General features: G+C 35.0%; 1 protein-coding gene across 2 annotated transcripts in view; it reads right to left on the bottom strand.

The window, feature by feature from the left end:
- THSD7B (thrombospondin type 1 domain containing 7B) overlaps positions 1-19,827 on the bottom strand; it is a 912,174-nt gene that overhangs the window by 220,510 nt on the left and 671,837 nt on the right. For both annotated transcript variants that reach the window (NM_001316349.2, XM_047445935.1), the window contains exon 15: positions 6,186-6,364. In NM_001316349.2, the coding sequence (NP_001303278.1) occupies positions 6,186-6,364 (179 nt within the window). The remainder of the gene's footprint in view (positions 1-6,185; positions 6,365-19,827) is intronic.

Below are 19,827 nucleotides of genomic sequence, written 5' to 3'. Positions count from 1 at the left end.
TGACAGCTCGCAAGAATAATGATCAAAGATTCAAAAGATTTAACAAGCCTGAGGGGGTAGTACTTTGCAATGATCTACAATAGGGTGTGTGTGGATACAAATGTTGGGGGAGAGGAATCTCTTGAGGAGAAAAAAACAATTTTTCTTGGAAATGGCGACAGGGCAAGAACAAAAAAGAAAAATTGCCTCTCCTCTAAGCTCCATTCAGCTCAATTAGTGCAATGCCACAACTTGAGAGCACAGAGTCGGGGCTAGCTGACCGGCATAAAGGATACAAATGGAAGAACACCAGCTTATATAAGGCATTTTATGCCACCTCCAAGATAGGGTGTATGCCTGGGCTTTGGGATTATTACTATGCAGAGAGAGGTAAAATGTTTTAGGGGTTTTGTCTTCTAAATTAAATCCTCCCAAATAGTCCTGAGGAATAAATCACTCTGCAGCCCTTAATTATATGGCATGTGATGTTTCACATTTAAAACAAGTTCTTATCCAAGGTAAAACCACCAACCTCCCCTCTGCATGTAAGAACAGTACACCTGAATGTGCTCAATCATGGATCGGTTTGGGCTGCCTTCCATATGGATACCCAGGAAGATGATTTCTTGCTCCAGTAAAGTCTGGGGCTCCTGCCAAAGTTCTACGTCCAAAGTGAGCAGCAGTCTGCCAGGAATGATCAGGCCTAGGTCAGGATCAGAGAGTCGGGCTGGTTGAAAAGATGCAAGAGGCCAACACTGATAAAACCAAATTAAATCTGAAGCATAGCCATATATTTCTGTGTAAACAAATATTGTAATAGAATGGCAGTTATCCTATTTTCACATCCCAACATGCTGCTAATATAGTTAATAAAGCAGTATCAGAATGAGCATAAGCTACTTCTCCATATAAATTTTTCTTATCCCAAAGTCATCTTCATCCTAAAATATATTTGTATATCTTTGGAAACAAGAAATTATTAAAAACATCATTACCCTGCTAGGAAAAATAAAATTTATTACATTATTCATTTCCAAATTTAGAATACCTCTCTTTGGGGAGAAGACACACCTTTAAAATAGCAGCTGCTTCTAGAGAACACATATATTTAATTTATATACTCTCATTCAGTTGCAAACATAATAAAAATGATTTCAAAATGCATTTAAATAGTATGTACTTATAAAAAGCACAGGTAATTAATCTTGATACAAAATTTTTATTCAAACATACTGAACATGTGCTTTGTAATTAATAAACAAAATATATAGTTGTCTGGAACTCTGTTGGTTTCCACCATGTGAAGAACTCATAAAGGGAAATGTAAGTCCAACAGGGCTTTAATGTCCTCATATTTAATCTTCTATTAGGCAACATTTAAAAAAATATGTAGCAAAAAATGTACAGTGCAAGTGCACTTAAATCTACTCAACACATTAGAGACTGTGAAAAATTAAAATATATTAGGTATTTCAATATACAAAGCAGAGTCAAGGGCATTAGCCAACTAACCTGATAATATAATAAACTATTTAGAAGATGTTTTATGCCTTGATAAGAGCTTTGGACAAGCTGCATGCTCAAAGTATTTAGCATCACAAATATACTTAGCAGAAAGCTACTCGAGTATTGCTGTCATTTAGGCACTTTTAGAGAAAGAGCTATCATGGTGATAGGTTTTGGTTTAAAAAGGAGGCTTTTATGAAAGATGATAAATATTGATTTCACTAACAGATTCAGATCAACTTATGAGGAGCATGTGTACATAATAGCAACCTTCCCATTTACATTGTTGTGTTAGATTGCAATGGGGAATGAAACACCCAAGATGTTCCAGGAAAATTGTAAAGACTTTTTGGGCAATGATAATTTGGGGATTCTGATCTCTTTCCTCTAGAAGAGCTCACATTTTTGAGAATTCTAATGACAAATCACAGCATAAGAGACCAGAGTTCTAATATATTTGTTTATTTCTGTGGAACTAGGCACCACTCATCCAGAGAGAAGGCTACGTTTTCAAATGAGGCTTCCAGTGAATACAATTTGACAACCCACAAGATAATGTACAGGGACTGGAATGAGTTGCAAAAGTAGAAAGACAGCCCTTGCCCTCAAAAAGACCTCATATTCTAAAGAGAAGCAGTGGAGGAGAATGAATAAGTATATGCAGATATACTGACATTTACATAAACACATACACACATCAAAATTCAATATTTTTTGAACAGTATGTTAGGTTCAATCTGACACATAATGTATCCTCCTCATGCCCAAATAGTAAAGATGTGTTCCTCTCTTAACGTTATAATTTGGTTACTTTTTTTTAAAGCTCTTACTTATGGGTAAAAATGCAGTAGGGTATTAATCTGGTTCCAAAAATAGGAAAGTAAATAGAAAACTGAAACAAATTGGACAGGAGACGAATAACCTAAAGCTAGCAGTAAAATTGAACTTTATAAAAAAGCCTCAGTAGGTATAACTCTAAATATACCATATGCCTAGCCTAGAGAAACAAATAGTGGCCTCCTCTAAAGAATTGCCATAAATAATAGAAGCTGGGGAATATTTTTTAAACATGAAAATTGCTAACAACCCAATTTATTGTCAAATGAATTAAGAAAATATGAATAACATCAAACAAAGCTCTATGTACAGTATAACAAACACATGGGATTCTACTATACATAAGAACAAATGTATAATGAAGTCACCACAGAGATCTTTCCACAAACATACTTACACACACACACACATAGATAGATAGATAGATAGATAGATAGATAGATAGATAGATAGATAGATAGACAGACAGACAGACAGACAGACAGACAGACAGATAGAATGGCTCTGAAGAGAATTTCTTTTAAATTTAGGATTTTTCACTATATTATTTGCCCTTGCCATTCAAAAACTTATGAGTGAGAGAAAGGACTTATTGTCCTGATCAATTAACTCATGGTAAGATATAAAGTATGTGTGGAGAAAAGTGATTCCTTATACACATTTGGTGCAAATGTAAACTAGTAAAGCCATTATGGAAAATTATATGGCAGTTCTACAAAAAACTAAAAATAGCATTATATGATCCAGCAATCCCATTGCTGGGCATTTACTACAAAAATTTGAAATCAGTATGTTGAAGAGATGTCTGCACTCCCATACTCATTACAGCACTATTTACAACAGCCAAGTTATGGAATCAACCTAAGTGTACATCAATAGATGAGTGGATGAAGAAAATGTGATATAGATACACAATGGGATACTATTCAACCTTAAAAAGAAAGAAACTCTGCTATTTGAGACTACATGGATGCAACTGGAAAACCTTATGATAAGTGAAATAATCCAGGCACAAAAAGCAAAATACTGCATGTTTTCACTTACATGTGGAATCCAAAACTATCAAGTTTATAGAAACACTGAGTAGAATGGCGGTTATCCGAGGCTGGAAGTGGAGGGAAGGGGGATGATGCTCAAAGGGCACAAAATCTCAGGAGAAATACATTTTATTTTCAATTGAGATATATTGCATAGCATGGTAAATGTAGTTAATAATAGTGTATTGTACATTTCAAAATTGCTAAGAAAGTAAATTTCAAGCCAGGTGCAGTAGCTCACGCCTGTAATCCCAGCACTTTGGGAGGCCGAGGCGGGCAGAGCACGAGGTCAGGAGATTGAGACCATCATGGCTAACACAGTGAAACCCTGTCTCTACTAAAAATACAAAAAATTAGCCGGGCGTGGTGGCAGAAGCCTGTAGCCACAGCTACATGGGAGGCTGAGGCAGGAGAATGGCATGAACCCAGGAGGCAGAGCTTGCAGTGAGCCGAGATCATGCCACTGCACTCCGGCCTGGGAGACAGAGTGAGACTCTGTCTCAAAAAAAAAAAAAAAAAAAAAGTAAATTTCAAATGTTCTCAGCAGAGAAAAAAAGTATTTGAGGTAATTGATATGTTAACTAGCCTGATTTAATTTTTCCACACTGTATTCATAAATTACACATCATTTTGTACCCCGCATATTGTCAACTTACAATAAATAAACTTTTTTTTAATATATAACATATGGATTCGGGTGAGGTTCTTAATTTAGCCACATACATACTTGATATCTGAAATCTCTTTATAACAAACTAAAAGCCAAACTAAATTATATTTCTGATCATTATACAGGGTTCTTTTTTGAGCATCAAGAAAAACCAAAGAGAAAATGTCTTTGGAAGGCTGCTACTCCCTTCTGGAACTCAAAAGTTAGAAATACCCTCTACAGACAGACCTACCTTTACTTATTGAATTTATGTAATTATTCTTGAACTTTGATTTAATTTCTAGTTTGTACAACTTCCCAAGGGTATAAGTGCTATATGTTAATGAATTGTTTAGAACAAGTTTCCTTTAAGTCACAACAGGCACCCAAATACTGTCATGTCATCCCTTCACAAAATGAGTTATTTTTATCTTATTCTTACTCTCAAATGTTATAGACATGTCCATACATTTGCCTACACATACTGAGAATAAAGTCTTAAACTCAGAGTTCAAATAAAATCCTTTTATTCCCTTGATAATTTCCTAGTTCATAAAATTAGCATATTAAAATGAGTGTTTAACACTGGTGTTATAAAGGCTTAGCTTTCATTGACGGTTTTGAGGAAGATACAAAAAGAATTATCATACATTATTTATAACTATAAGTGCTTAGTAGTTCTTTTCATTTTAAATGCCCAGAAAATTCCCCCAGGGATGGGCAAATAGTCTCCATACAGAGTATTTCCCTAAAAGTCTCCCTCCTGAACATAAACCTGCATTATTTCTTTCTTTGTAAGGATTATCTCTTCAGACTATCTCTGCTTTAATTATTTCCCTCCAGTTTTCATTAATCATATTTTATTCTCCTGTCACCAAAATCTTGAGGTTTTTTTTCCAACTTTTACATTGATTTTATAATCTTCTGCTTTATTTTCCCTAAAAGGTTCATATCTTATTTAAGAGAATAAACTATGGTCATTATTTTACCACATAACCTTAAAAATCAAGACTAGCATAATAACTATGCTCTGTTTTAGAACTTAAATATATCTTGTTGAATTTTTTTTTAATTTCAGTGAGTTATATGTCTTTTATAAAAACTTAGAAAAAAATAGCTAAAGAGATTGGTCTTGAATTGATACATGATATTCAAGTCTGAGCAGTACTAAACATGCTATTATAATTAAGAAAGGACATATGAGATTTTCCTTACATTAAACAGCATGTATAGAGGCTGAATGGAATTGAGAGGATAGAAATTCATATACTAGAATTAGTAATAGAAGCATGTGTAGCTATTCTGTTAAGTTTCCCAATTACAGAGGATCTACCAACTCATATGAGACACACTTCACCTGTCTAAAAATAAAAAAAACTTTTAATCAAAATCATCTTGTACTCAACCTAGTCAACTGATTAATGTAATATCAGTCCTAATCTAATAATCAGTACACAATCATGGGAGAAATTTGAGTTCTTTATTATAATTCTTAATGAAATCTTAGACTCTGTTATATATACAAAGGCAACTGAAATACTCTAATCAACTTTGATTGCTTAGGATGGCAATTTCATTAGACATGTATATGGAAAGGGATCTATCATGGTTTTATTTATGAAAATATCTATGATTTTTGAGAAAGCAGGTAAAGAAGTAGTTCAAAAGAGATTTATAGAGTTGTGGAAGATTTGGCAAGATTGAGAATGAAAAACATTAGGATAAAGTGTTAGGTGAAACAAAAATAGAACACCATTTTTGGACTTGATGGATAAGACCACTAATCATATTGCCATGACATAAGTGATACTCTCCCAACATTATTACTTATATTTAAATATATGTATATATTTAGACATATATATATACACACATATATATATCCAACTTTTAAAATATCAAAATTATAGCTTAAGATTATTTTAAAATCAATTTGATTTGATTTTGTAAATATTATTACTACTAAGGATACCAAGTTTGTCTCAGCATTATCCAGGTGTGAGCAAAGCTTCAATTACTAATTCTATTATTTTAATTTTGGCCCTCTTAATCCTTCTTCTGACATTGTGATAACTTTTAATGAGCTCCTTGTAATAAGAGAATGACTTCAATTTCAATGGGAAATAATAATGAGGATAGCTTTTTTAGCTTTTTATTTGTTGCTTCATGCACTTTACCTGATTCTTGAGATCCAGTTTGGGACATGGTCGTCCTCCATTGTAAGGTTTTTCTTTTAGCCATTTGGATCGAATTCTCACTCCAATTCCACAAGATGAACTGCAAGACCCCCAACTAGACCAATCGCTTAACTTGCAATCAAATGGGCAGGGAATGACACATTTTTCTTGAATGTAACCTGACAGAAAAAGATTTAAGAGAAGAAAGTCTGATTAAAATGTACTGATCAAATTCACTTTCTATTTCCATGATCACAGTTTGGATTTTTTCAACAATATTGCTGTAGTGGCTTCAATAATTTTGTTCTCAGATAAACAGACCAAAATTTTAAGAAATAAATATGACATCTGCATTCAAATTTGTGCCACTCTGTTCACTTTGTAGGCAATTTTGGGATGAAAGGAACAGGAAAAAGTGCACAGTTAGTCCTGGTTTCTGATAAGAAGGAATGAGGTAGCTCAGGGCTAAAGATGGAGCCATCTCCCCTCACTAGGCCTTGTGTTTCCCTCCTACGATTCACTGTCTAGAAGAGGGATTATAAAAGAGTCCATCCTTCTTAAGGGTCTATGATCTGCAAGGCTTTCACTTAAAAAGATGTTTATTCTGTAATGTGACTTGGGGATGGGAAGAGGACAGACAGTGGACCACAGATTAGGAAGAGTGGGATATTATTGAAAGAAGACAGTAGAAGAATAGCAAAAAGTTGTAAAATGAGATATTGCACTGAAATCAAGAGATGTGGGTTGAAGTACAGCTTTGGAAGTTCTAGCTCTACCTGGCCTTGCTTGTGTCTTCAGCCCACTTCTTGCAACGGTCTTTCTCTGGATAATCTCACTGTTTTAACTATCACCTCTAATAATCACTACCAAATATATACTTCTAATGTAGATCTCTCCACTAAATTCTATACCATCTACTGAACCACTCTAATTTGATGCCCGATTTACTGAAAATTCAACATGTCTAAAACTGAGGCCATCAATTTCCTAAAAAATTATACTTCTCTTGTGTTCCTTTCCCGATTAACTGCAACATCATCTGATTCCTGTATCCTGTTGTACATGCCTGTATAATCTCTTCTGCTTGAGTGTGGGAAGGAACTGTGAATGTGACAGAATGTCCCTCCCATTATTAGGTTATGGTATATGGCAAATGTGAAGGGAATTTACAGATATGATTAATATGCCACATCAGTTAATCAGTTTGAGATATACTGGGTGGGCCTGGCTTAATTGGGTGAAAAGCCTTAAAAGAGGACTGGGTCCTTTTGTGTAGAGAGAGAGAGATTCTCCTGCTGGCCTTGAAAAAGAAAATAGCCATGCTATGAAATGCTGATGGCATGGTCACATGACAGGAAACTGCAAGCAGCCTCTAGAATCTGAGGGCAGCCCCTTGCTGTCAGCTAGCAGAACACAGGGCCTTCAGGCCCACAGGTGCATGGGGATAAATTCTGCCAAAAACATGAGGGAGTTCAGAAGAGGAGCTTTCCCCAGCCAAGCCTCTGCTGAGATCTCAACCCTAGCCTACACCTTGATTTTAACCAAGTGAAGCCCTCAAGCAGAGAATCCAGAGAAGCTGTCTGAATTTCTGCCCCATGCAAACTGTGAGATAATAAAGGTTGTTTTGAGATGTGAAGTCTGTGGTATTTTTTTATGCAACAATGGAAAAGCTAAGAAGTTATCCAAAATAAATATCTCCAGTTATCTTAGACCCTCCTTCATCATTCTACACAAACATTAAAATGTGTCACAAATCCTTATATTAAAACAAATAAATAAGTCCCCTATTCCACAACTCCTTTGTCAGGCCCTAGTTCAAGATCTCACCATTTCTGGCCCAGAATAATGCCATATTCTCTCCACAAGCCTGCCTTTCTTTTTCTTAATTGTTCTGTTTTGGTATCTGTCAATTACTTTGAGGGGGGGAAAAAAGATCATTTTCTAAAATACAAAATAACTTTTATTACTCCTTTTTTGAAACCTCTGCTAACTCCCCATTGCCTTTATAATAAAAAGTCAACACACTTTACAAAAATAAAACAAACAAACAAACAAAAATTCTTTATAAAAGACTCTAAGCAATGGTTTTCAACCTTGTCTGTAAAATCTAAGTCCATTCCCCAGGACAAACCATAGACCAATTCCACCTGATTCTCAGAGGATGGGACCCAGGAAAGGGTAGTTTTTGTTGTTGTTGTTGTTGTTGTTGTTGTTGTTGTTGTTTTGAGATGGAGTCTCGCTCTGTCGCCCAGGCTGGAGTGCAGTGGCGCAATCTCGGCTCACTGCAAGCTCTGACTCCCGGGTTCACGCCATTCTCCGGCCTCAGCCTCCCGAGTAGCTGGGACTACAGGCGCCCGCCACCGCTCCCGGCTAATTTTTTTTGTATTTTTAGTAGAGATGGGGTTTCACCGTGGTGTCAATCTCCTGACCTCGTGATCTGCCCGCCTCGGCCTCCCAAAGTGCTGGGATTACAGGCGTGAGCCACTGCGGCCAGCCAGGAAAGGGTAGTTTTTAAACACATTCAGATGATTCTGAGGACTGCCTACCAAACTTATTGTTCCCCCCACCCTCCCGTCTCTTCTATCTTAAATTCTGTCTACACAGACTACTCCATCTTCTCCACGAGCCTTTGCTCGTGCAAAAATGAGTTATTTTCCTAACCAGCTTAGCCTCCCTGCTTCATTACTTTAACCACTCTCTTGCCAATTTGGTTGATGGCCTCGTCCCAGTGTTCTGCCATCCCAGGCTGGAAAAACTTCAGACTTAGTTTGGTCCAATTGTCTTCCTTTTCTGTTCTTAAAACAGGGCTGCCAAGCAGAGATGAAGAAAATGCTGATACCACACTGGAGACACTTTAATAAGTACTCTATCTTCAACCAGTTTCTCACACTGCTTGGTCATTCTTCTGAGTTTTCTTCTCACTCTGATTCCACAGACAGCTCTTTCAAGCCTCCACCTATTTTCAAACTTCTAAGACCTCACATCTTCCTCACATCTTCCTTTACAGAAAAAAATAGCAAGAAATGGATGAGACTCCTTCAGTTTCCTATGAATGTGTCTGTATGCATTCTCATATTTTTTTCTTCTCTCTTCATATTAACATGAAAAAAGTGTCCATTTTCTGCATTTTCCTATATAAGGAACATTCTTCATTTCCACCTGATTTCTCCCCTGGTCTACAGGCTCTTTCAGAACCTTGTTTCCTTGATTCTCTTTCTCTTTCTTTCTTTCTTTTTTTCTCTCTCTCCATTTCATATTTATATTTCTTTCAGATTAATATTATAATGAATTTAAATTCCCCTAATACTAGTCATTGACAAGAGAGAATACACTAAAATCTAAGAGTCATCAGAAAAGATCCTTCTGGAATTGAAAAAAAAATGCTCCAATAGACACTCGTAAAAGACTAATCCTCTAACATAATTTTAATTTTACAGTCATTTCTAAGGAGTTTTGATTACTAATTCACTATTAGATACACAGTAAAAGCTAAATAAAGGATTAAAAGGAAGTCACAACATTACTTCATTTTATAGAGAAACTGAGTCACAAAATGCTTTCATTTGCTACCAAATAGAAAGAGGAAAACTAGAAATTAGGTGGGATTAACTCTCATGGCATGCATACTTCACATATGCAAATCTGAAATTCCAGGAGGTTTCAGATAAACTTTAAATGTTTGAATGTCTATGTAGACCCTATGTTAAAGCAGAATTTGAAGTAGATGCCCTTTTAATTGAGATTTTAAATCATTCTCATCTACACTTGCATACTGAAGGATTTTAATTAGCAAGCCTGTAGCAATACTTTTTTTTTCTTTCCCTATGATAAGAAGTAAACCCAGAGGATCTCTATGAAAGTCAAGGTTATAAATTCAATGAGCATAAAATAATTTTGAAATTCAACAGGACTAAGCAACAGTGACATTTATTTTTCAGGAAAATTATTTTCATGCCAGAGTATACCCCAAAGGAAAATTCATAGTGAGGAATATTAATACTTGCATATTCTTATACCTATCTCATATTCGAATGGATAAGTTTTACCACACACTTAACACTTATAGTTTTTGGCAACAGAATATGATCAAATGTGACTATGTACAAGGTTGACCTGCCACTTAAATATTCTAATTTCTAACTGCAGAAGTCCCACTAATGTTTAAGAAACTCATTTCCATAAAATATACCACAGAATCTCTGTTCCCATCTACATAATATTTCACGGCAACACTCACACATCTAAACCTCATTGCTACCAAAAAAGCAGTTTTTTCTACCAAAAAGTATTTTACACTACAGTTTATATGCAGAATACATTGCTTGGACCATCTTATTACTTGGCCTAGGGATACTTTAGTGTTCTATTTTAGTTATCAGTATGCATATAGAATTAGGGGTGAAGTAGTCATTACAGAATTATCAGTAGAGAATACACCAAACTTTGTAATTTTGTAAACCATATTCATTATACATAGTAGATGCTCAAAAAAAATCCTATTACAGATAAAGATGGACTGAATAGGATGCATTAATACTATCCCTATCGATGTTACAACCAGTGGTATTTATTTAATGATCTACCAAATAGAATTGAAGCCCAGAGACTTGGAATGAAAGGACTTTTCAGTCTATATTTCTAATCCCCAAAGACTGAAGCCTCTGAGTTAGCATAACGGATGTATGTGTAAGCACAGTTCTCCGAATAAGGTGGACTCATTAATACAACCTCTCCCAGAATATTACCTTATGTGCATTTTTCCCCTTCAACAGTCAAGTACAAACACGTTTTTCTCCTGTTAAGATCTAGTTTTGAAGGACATAAAAGTAGGAAATATTGATTATATTAATCCTGAGAAAATAACCTAGATTAATTTACTTATATTTTCCTGCTATATAAAATAATAGCCAACATCTCACTGGACAGCTTATGTTCTATCTACTGACACTGTGCTCGAATAATGAAACATAGTACCAAAAAGGAAACAGATTTTTTTTTTTTCAATACTAAACAAGCTAAGATCCGGGAGAATCTTGTGAGTTAAAATAGCATGTTGTGATTTTCTCAATATTTAAAAACCTGCTTTTTAAAGTTTATTTAATGTTTTTTCCTTTTTCAACTTTTATGGATACATAATAGTTGTATATATTTATGGGGTACATGTGATATTTTGATACAAGCATGCAATGTGTAATGATCAAATCGGGGTAACTGGGCTATCCATCACCACAAGCATGTATCTTTTCTTTGTGTTGGGAACATTACAACTCATACTTTTTTGAAATGTACAACAATTATTGTTATCTATAGTTGCCCTATTGTGCTATTGAATGCTAGATCTTATTCTTTCTATCTAACTGTATTTTTGTACCCATTAATCAACCTGTCTTTCCTCTTCCCTCCCTACTACCCTTTCCAGCCTCTGGAACCACCATTCTCTTCACTACTTCCATGAGATCCATATTGTTTTTCAAATCTCCCACATATGAGTAAGAACACACAGTATTTGTCTTTCTGTGTCTGGCTTATTTCATGTAACATAATCTCCTCTATTTCCATCCATATTGCTGCAAATGATAGGATGTCAATTTCATTCTCTTCATGGACAAATAATATTCCATTGTGTATATACATATTTTCTTTATCCAGCCATCTGTTGATGGGCACTTAGGTGGATTCCATATCTTGGCTATTGTGATTATTGCTGCAATAAACATTGCAGTGCTGATACTTTGATATATTGATTCCCTTTCTTTTGGTTACATACCCAGCAGTGAAATTGCTGAATCATATGGTAGTTCTATTTTTAGTCTTTTGAGAAATCTCCATACTGTTTTTCATAGTGGCTGTACTAATTTGCATTCCTACCAACTGTGTACGAGCATTCTTCTTTTTCCATATCCTCACTAGAGTTTGTTAGTTTCTACCTTTTTGATAATAGCCATTTTAACTGGGGTGATATAATATCTCATTGTGGTTTTGATTTGCATTTCCTCTGATGATTAGTGGTGAGCATTTTTTTATACATCTGTTGGCCATTTGTATGTCTTCTTTTAAAAAATGTCTATTCGGATGTTTTGCCTATTTTTCAACTGGATTATTTGTTTTTGCTATTGGAGTTCCTTTTATATTCTGGTTATTAATCCCTTATTGAATGAATAGTTTGCAAATATTTTCTCTCGTTCTGTAGGTTGTCTCTTCATTTTGTTGAGTGTTTCCTTTACTGTGCAGAAACTTTTTAGCTGGATGTGATCCCATTTGTCCATTTTTGCCTTTGTGGCCTATGCTTTTGAGGTCTCATTCAAGAAATCTGTGAACAGACCAATGTCCTGGAGCATTTTCCCAAAGTTTTCTTTTAGTAGTTTTATAGTTTCAGGTCCTATATTTAAGTCTTTAATTGATTTGATTTTTGTAAATGGTGAGGGATAGAGGTCTAGTTTCATTCTTCTGCACATGGATATCCAGTTTTCTAGCTTATATATTTTAGTACTATGAGAATATAATTGTTTTTCTATTTATCTAGTAAAAATGCACTATACTAAAAAGTATCCAATGACTTCAATCAGATTAGTTTAAAGGGCATATTTGTTTGGGAAAGGTGAAGAAAAAATTGCAAAATTATTTTAACCTTAGTCCAAGAAAGACAATTTGAGAAGTTAGATCAATACTTTGCCATTGTTATGAAGAAAGGAACTGACAGTGTTAAACGCTTACTTAAAATCTCAATCCATCAGCATGTGAAAATGTAAATCAAATGCAATAGAGTTACCAGCTTGCCTTGGTGAATGTATACATTTTCTTGGAAATACCATTCATGAAAAGAAGTTGCATACTCTCATAAAGATGCTTCCAACCTTGTTTAGGTCTCTGTGAGGCCTGAGACATGATAGTTAAAAAGTGCCTAGGTTATTACCTCTTCTTTTTAGAATTCTGAATTATTAAGAGATGGTTTTGAAAGTACTGTCTACCAGTAGAAAATATCTTACTGCTTTTTATAAAACTCCATCAGCATCGACAAAATAATGTTAAATATTATAAATGATGCTAATGTATTGCAAACAAAATATCTCATTTAGATCCACAATATGATAACTGAAATGTAGCTGATTTAGAAGTCACACAATGTTCAAACAATTAATTGACAAAAAAGTTTTACTGGATTCCTTAAAACTCACTTTTTTGTAGCACAAAAACTTATTAAATTATATTACATCCACCAGGAAAATCATTTCGGTGTCAGCCAGTTTCCTTAATTAAAATATAATTCACTAATTCACTGGTGTACTGTATTTTGGATGTAGATGAGCTATTCAAGATCACCTAGGAAAAGACTTCATTTTATAGTCAGAAGTAGAACGGGAACTCAAACTCAGACTTGGTTGAGATAGTTCACTATCAAGTAGAAAAAAATAATTACTATGGCCCAGAATGTTCTCTTTAGTAAAGGATTGACAAGATAGAGAATCAACCCTGCCCTTGATCTAATTAATTCATATTTGGGAAGAGATAATTCTTATCAATGAGGAAAAAATGTGGTATGTAATCAAGTACATATGTTGTATGATACAAATAATGTATACAAATTCTATGACAAATTGAGATAACATGAATATATTATGGTTTTAATTTTCTAAGAGATTCTTGTGAAAAGTATTTATCTTGGTACACACAGGATTTGGCTAATGGCTTGACTTGGTTCACTTGCCACAACTAAATGTATCAGTGTCAACCTAATCAAGCAGCCAAATCCTATAAAGAACTGATCTTTGAAATTGAATAGTCCAGGCAATTTAATCACAATGGTATCTCAGTTGTTCTTATAGGCAGAGCTTGCAACATTAACTCCCTTGTGCCAGGTTCCTCCAGGCAGAGAAAAGATATTTTTTTCCTTAGACGATATTGAGGATATTAGAGACAAAGGAGACTAGACACAGAACAATCTGAACTGTTCAGTTAGGACTGTACGTACACTAGCTATTTTTCCCATTACTGCAAATAAGTGCTGTTAAAATTAAAGTGACTGAATGCTTTAATCACATAACAAACTTGGCATTTGCAACACAATAAAGACACACAGATTTAAATAACCCAATATTACCGAGTAATTCTTAGAACTGTGGCTCCAAGTGCCTATATGAAGTCTTCTCATTACATCTTCTTGCCTTGAGAGAATTTCACCTTAAACTACACCATACTGTATGTACTTTACATTTTCTCATTTATGAAAGCTGATTTCTGAGCATATCTTGTATTCATCAGGCTATTCTCCAAATATTTCAGGTTCTGTTCCTGAACACTTTACCACACTTTGAAGTTTGGTGTGATCTTATAATTTGTTTTAGCCAATAAAATGTGAGCAGAAATGTAGTGTGAAGCCTCTAGGTGGAAGCTTTAAGAGCTGCAGCATAATTTGACCTACTCTTTCTTTCCTTATGCCACAAGGACCAGCAATATTCCTGGCTGCTCAATCAGCCCAGGTCCTGGAGTGATGAGGACTTGGCGCAGAGTCTCCAGCCAACCCAAGATAGACATGAATAGTGAGAGACCCTGTGGCTTTCAACCACCGAGACTTTGAAGTAATCTGTTCTGTTTGTTTCTGCAACATTACCAATTCCATCCTGATGGATCAAGCTTGGCACAACAAAGCATCTTCAGAAGGTGAAGTAAAGAACACAATGAAACAAATATTTAGAATATTTTGCGAATATGGTGTCCTGAGAAAATACAATTAAGCTAGATCAGCAGTTAGCACAGTCTGAATGGCAAATCAAATCAAATGAGGATGTGACTTTGCAGAAAGTTGAGCTTATATATATATATTTCAGGAAAATATATAATTTATTATTTAAAAAAGGACTCACAATATGGATTATAAATCAAAGTCTAACCTTATGTCATCTGGGATAAAATATTAAATCTCCATAGTTCAATTTCCTTGTATGAAAATAAAAATGTAACAATATTTCTCCTTTCTAATTTCTTATAATGCTGTGAGGGTCAAAAAATATAAGAAGTAGAATTCTGTGGAAAATAATTAATATATGATGAAAGTGACATACTAACATTTTACTGCTACTAAAAGCTATATAGCAGAGTAGAAATATTCTTTCATTATTATGTTTTTGGGGTAGGTGATTGGTAAAAAATATAATTCTGTAAAGATACTTTAGCAGAAAAATTATAGGGTAATAATTTTCAAATTTGGGTGCCTTTTCTCATTCCAGCTCATTTCCATGTAAATTAAAGACTAGGATAACATTGACAAAATGAGAGATTCTGTTTTGGGTCAATAAATCAATTGTTGTTTCATTCCATGTCTGTCTTTCCAAGTCTGCTGCTACCAACCAAGGCCAGATACTCAATATCTCTCACTTGAACTATTATAATAGCCCCTTAACTGGGCTGCAGGTTTCCAATTTCTTCCTTCTAATCTATTCCATGTCTGATCAACTGCAATATTAATATCCCTAAAGCACAACTCTACATATGTCATGGCCTAACCTAAAATAAATAACCTTCACAGTGTAGCAGAATTTTGATAAATAGACAGGCATGTGGAAGGCAATCTTGGCAGGAGAGAGACCACAAATTAAATTAAGAAGACAATGAACCCCAAATGTTTATAAGTCAAATATTCTCTACAATAATTTTTGTTTGAGGAGAAGTATAAATTTGGCTAGGGTGCTGTGAGACCACAGGAGGAGGTTCTGCTGGGGAGGCTCAGAAAATTGATTAAGAATTCTGGTATAAATTTGATTGGGGCACTGGAATGAAGAAGAGACAGCATGAGATCAGAGCACCTGATTAAGAGACAATTTGAAAATTCTGAAGTGGCAAATGCTTTGCCCTTAGGCTAAAAGACCACTAAATATAATTAAAAATGATATGCATGTTGTTAGAGAACAATATAATGAAACATGATAGGATATTACTTATAATTAGCTCGTTGTGACATGTACACATGGCTAATATACTATCTAAATAGAAACAACTACCTTCAAAATGACCAATGAATCTGCTCTTTAAATAGCAGCTTCATTTCCCAACTGTGAAGACAGGTCTGATACAATGAATCCTAAGCATCAGCAATTGCCAGTTTATGAGTAGATAGATTTCTCTATGTGTCTCATGGGATTCAGAAACATATAAGCTTAGAAGAAAAGTATTTCTCTTCTTTTTTCTTTATCTCCCAGGGTTCCTAAAGAAACTCTGACCTGAATCCAGCCAATATATTGGACCAGAATAGTAGATTTACCTACTGCCTACCTGCTTACTTATTTGCTTATTTATTTATATATTTGTGTATTTCTTATAAGGACAGGAGTGCAAAATTGGGAGATTTCACATAAAATAAACATTTCTGACTTCCCTTGAAAATGCAGATGATCTGGTAACACCTGGGTTCTCATTCCAGCATAGCAACAATTGGCTGGAACTGAATAGCAGGACCTCTTCAGATGAAATCTGCCATCACAGTATTCTACAGTCCCTAAACTAAGGACTTCTTTACCAACTGAAACAAGGCCAAAACTTACTCATATGTCCAATTAAAAAAAAAAAAGGTAAGGTGAGGCTATGGTTATTGGAGAGGAGGGTGGATGAGACAGAGATCTACCTCTCCAGGCTCACCCTACTCATCACATGAAGGGATCTAGGAAGAGTTGAGTCAGAAACTTTTTCTAGTCTGAAATCTTCAAAAGGAGCCAGACTCTATGCTACCAGCCAGTGTTGGAGCAGACATGTGGGCTCTGGAAATTATATAATGAAAAAGGCAGTCTTTAAAATTTAAAAAACAAGACAAAATTATAAATGCAAATTTAAGTGCAATGATTTGGAAGAGGATCATGACAATCAAGTTTCTGAACTTTAAGGTTAATTAGGTGGATTAACTTCCACTGCTATCAGTATTCAACATATTACTACACCAGCATTCAAACATAATTCCTAAAGGTGGCAACAAGAGACATCATGAATAACTAGAACATGAATATCTAGAGATAGGTAGATGGAAGCGTTCTTCATTCAGAGCCTAGCTCCTCCAAAGAACTCTGTGGAACAGAAGAAAGTTCATAATGTAATAAAATGTCTGCACAGTAAGCTTCAGAGATGAGAATCCATTTTTCTATTTGCCTGACTGTGCGGTTATCCAGACAATGATTTGTAATCATGAACAATGAAACAAGTTATTATAAATTCTGATTTATAATCAGAATATGGATTACATGACAAAAAAAATGTACCTCGAAAAGTTTTCATTTGCCAAAAAACTGTACCTTTCACGGAGCTAATGCAGAAATCAATGTACAAGAATGAATTCACAGTACATTAACTCCTTGCAAGTTACCATAAAATCCTTTGAACTATCACCAAGGTGTAAAATTAAATACAACTTCCAGTTTTGATTTACACAGCTCTCTGGTAATGGAGAATTTGTTCCATTACCAATAATTTTGTTTCCTGACTGATTGTGCATTATCTAATCCAGAGATTTACATTTAGACTTCTGTTGTCTGCAATTGACAGATAACTTATTTATTTAATGATATACCTTGGATGAAGGAAGAAATAAAGAAATAAAAGAGGTCAAGACATTTCAATTTATTTATTTAATTTTATGTTCTTCAAAAAATTAAATAGCCAGAAATCTTCTAATTATACTAATAGAAGTCTCAAGAGACTGTGGGTAATCCTAATTCACACAAAGAAGGCTTTTGAAACCAGAAAAAAGCATCAAAAGCAACCAAAATATTCCTCTAAGAAAAAGCAACAGAAAAAGAGGGTTTGTTAGTTTTCTAGAACTGCTGTATCAAATTACCAGAAACTTGGTAGTTTAAAAAAAGAAAAAATTATTCTTTCATTGCTCTCTCATAATATATGCTTAATTCATTTTGGTGCATTCTAGAAGCCTGACATTAAGGTGTCAGCAGGGCTGTGTTCCCTCTAAAGTTTATAGGAGAAAATCCTTGCCTTTCCTAGTTTCTGGTGGCTCCTGGTGGCCCTTGCTTGGCAGCATACCTCTAATTTTTGCCTTCATCTTCTCATGGTTGTTTCCCCTTTGTTTCTCTGTCTCAAATCTTTCTCTTTTCTCTTGTAAGGACGCTAATAATTGGTTTTACAGCCTACCCCAAACCGAGGATGATCTCATCTCAAGTTCCTTAACTTAATTACATCTGCAAAGACTATTTGCAAATAAGTTCACAGGTACAGGTACTGAGGGACAGAACTTCAACATATCTTTTGTGGGGACAAAATTCAACCTACTAGAGAGAGGAGTGAAGATTATAATAAAGAAGAGAATGTAACACATGGACAAGAGTGCAGCCTTAGATACACACCAAGCTGACCTAGGCTTATATCCCACCTCAACGTGAGCTGCCTAAATCCTCTAAGCTTCAATGTTATCAACCATCGCAGGGACTATTGCAGGTCAACCCCAGCCTCCACCTGTTTTTGTAAATACAGTTTTGTTGGGACAGAGCCACACCCATTTATTTCTGCATTGCCTATGACTGCTTTCACACCGCAACAAGCAGAGGTGACTAGTGACAGAGACAGTACAGCTGACAAAGTTGAATATATATACTATCTAGACTTTTATAGAAAATGCTATCAAATGGGGTTAATAACAGTACCCATTGCATAAGATTATTATGAGAATCAAATGAGAGCATTAAACGGTATTGACCACACAGTGAGCACTCAGTAGGTGAAAATTTGCTGTTTCTATTAGAAAGGCATAGTGTCATGGTAGATAACAACATGGGCTTAGAAATTTAAAGACCTAAGTTCAAAATCAACCAGGACACTTACTACTTGTGGTGTTACCTTGTGCCTGTCATTGAACCTCTCCAATCTTCAATTTTCTTATCTCTAAAGTGGAGGTAATTATTGAAAGTACTTCAAATTGCTCTGTAGATCAGATGGTCTGGAACAAGAGGTTAGCCATTTCTGCTACTAGTATTATTCTCCAACAAAGAAAATATAACATCTTCAGTGTATGAGATGCAAGTGGGAGTTGGGAAGACAGTTTCATTTTGAGAAATTCCATATTTAAGAAGATCAAATGTCTCAAGTCTTCCCCAAAATGATGTTTTCTCCTCAAGGCCAAAACCTCTGTGGCATGCAGAAAAGGGTAGAGTGCTCATGTGAATTTTTATCTATTTCCTAGTCAAACAAACAGAGTAGGTAAAGATTAACATTTGGTATACAGAAATCAACAGTTCCCTGCTAATTAAAGCAGAATTATTTAAACTATTGAACACAGAGCCTGAAGGCTGGCATCGATGGGGATGAAATCATAAGACCTTAAATAAAAACAGTTACATTGAAATCTTTATCATCCCACCCTCACCAATCAGGTTCCTCTTCCTGTGTTCCCTCCTTTGCTCCTATATTAAGGTCCAAGCTCTTTGAAATGACTCATAGGGACTTCTGTAATCTGTTGCTTTCATGTCTCTTCTTGCTTTAAAGGTGCATGAAATTCTGTAACTTCACAATGCTCAACAGCTGGTAATAATTTTGTCAAGTGGCGATATAATTCAGGACATGTTGAAGACAGCTTCCTTTGTTTTGCCTCCTGTTCTTCACAATCATCTTAGCTTTATAGGAATTTCTCTACAATCATCATCCCCTTAGACATGAA

Source organism: Homo sapiens, chromosome 2 (genome assembly GCF_000001405.40).
Source record: "Homo sapiens chromosome 2, GRCh38.p14 Primary Assembly".
Lineage (NCBI taxonomy): Eukaryota > Metazoa > Chordata > Mammalia > Primates > Hominidae > Homo > Homo sapiens.
This window is presented reverse-complemented; position numbering and strand designations above follow the sequence as displayed.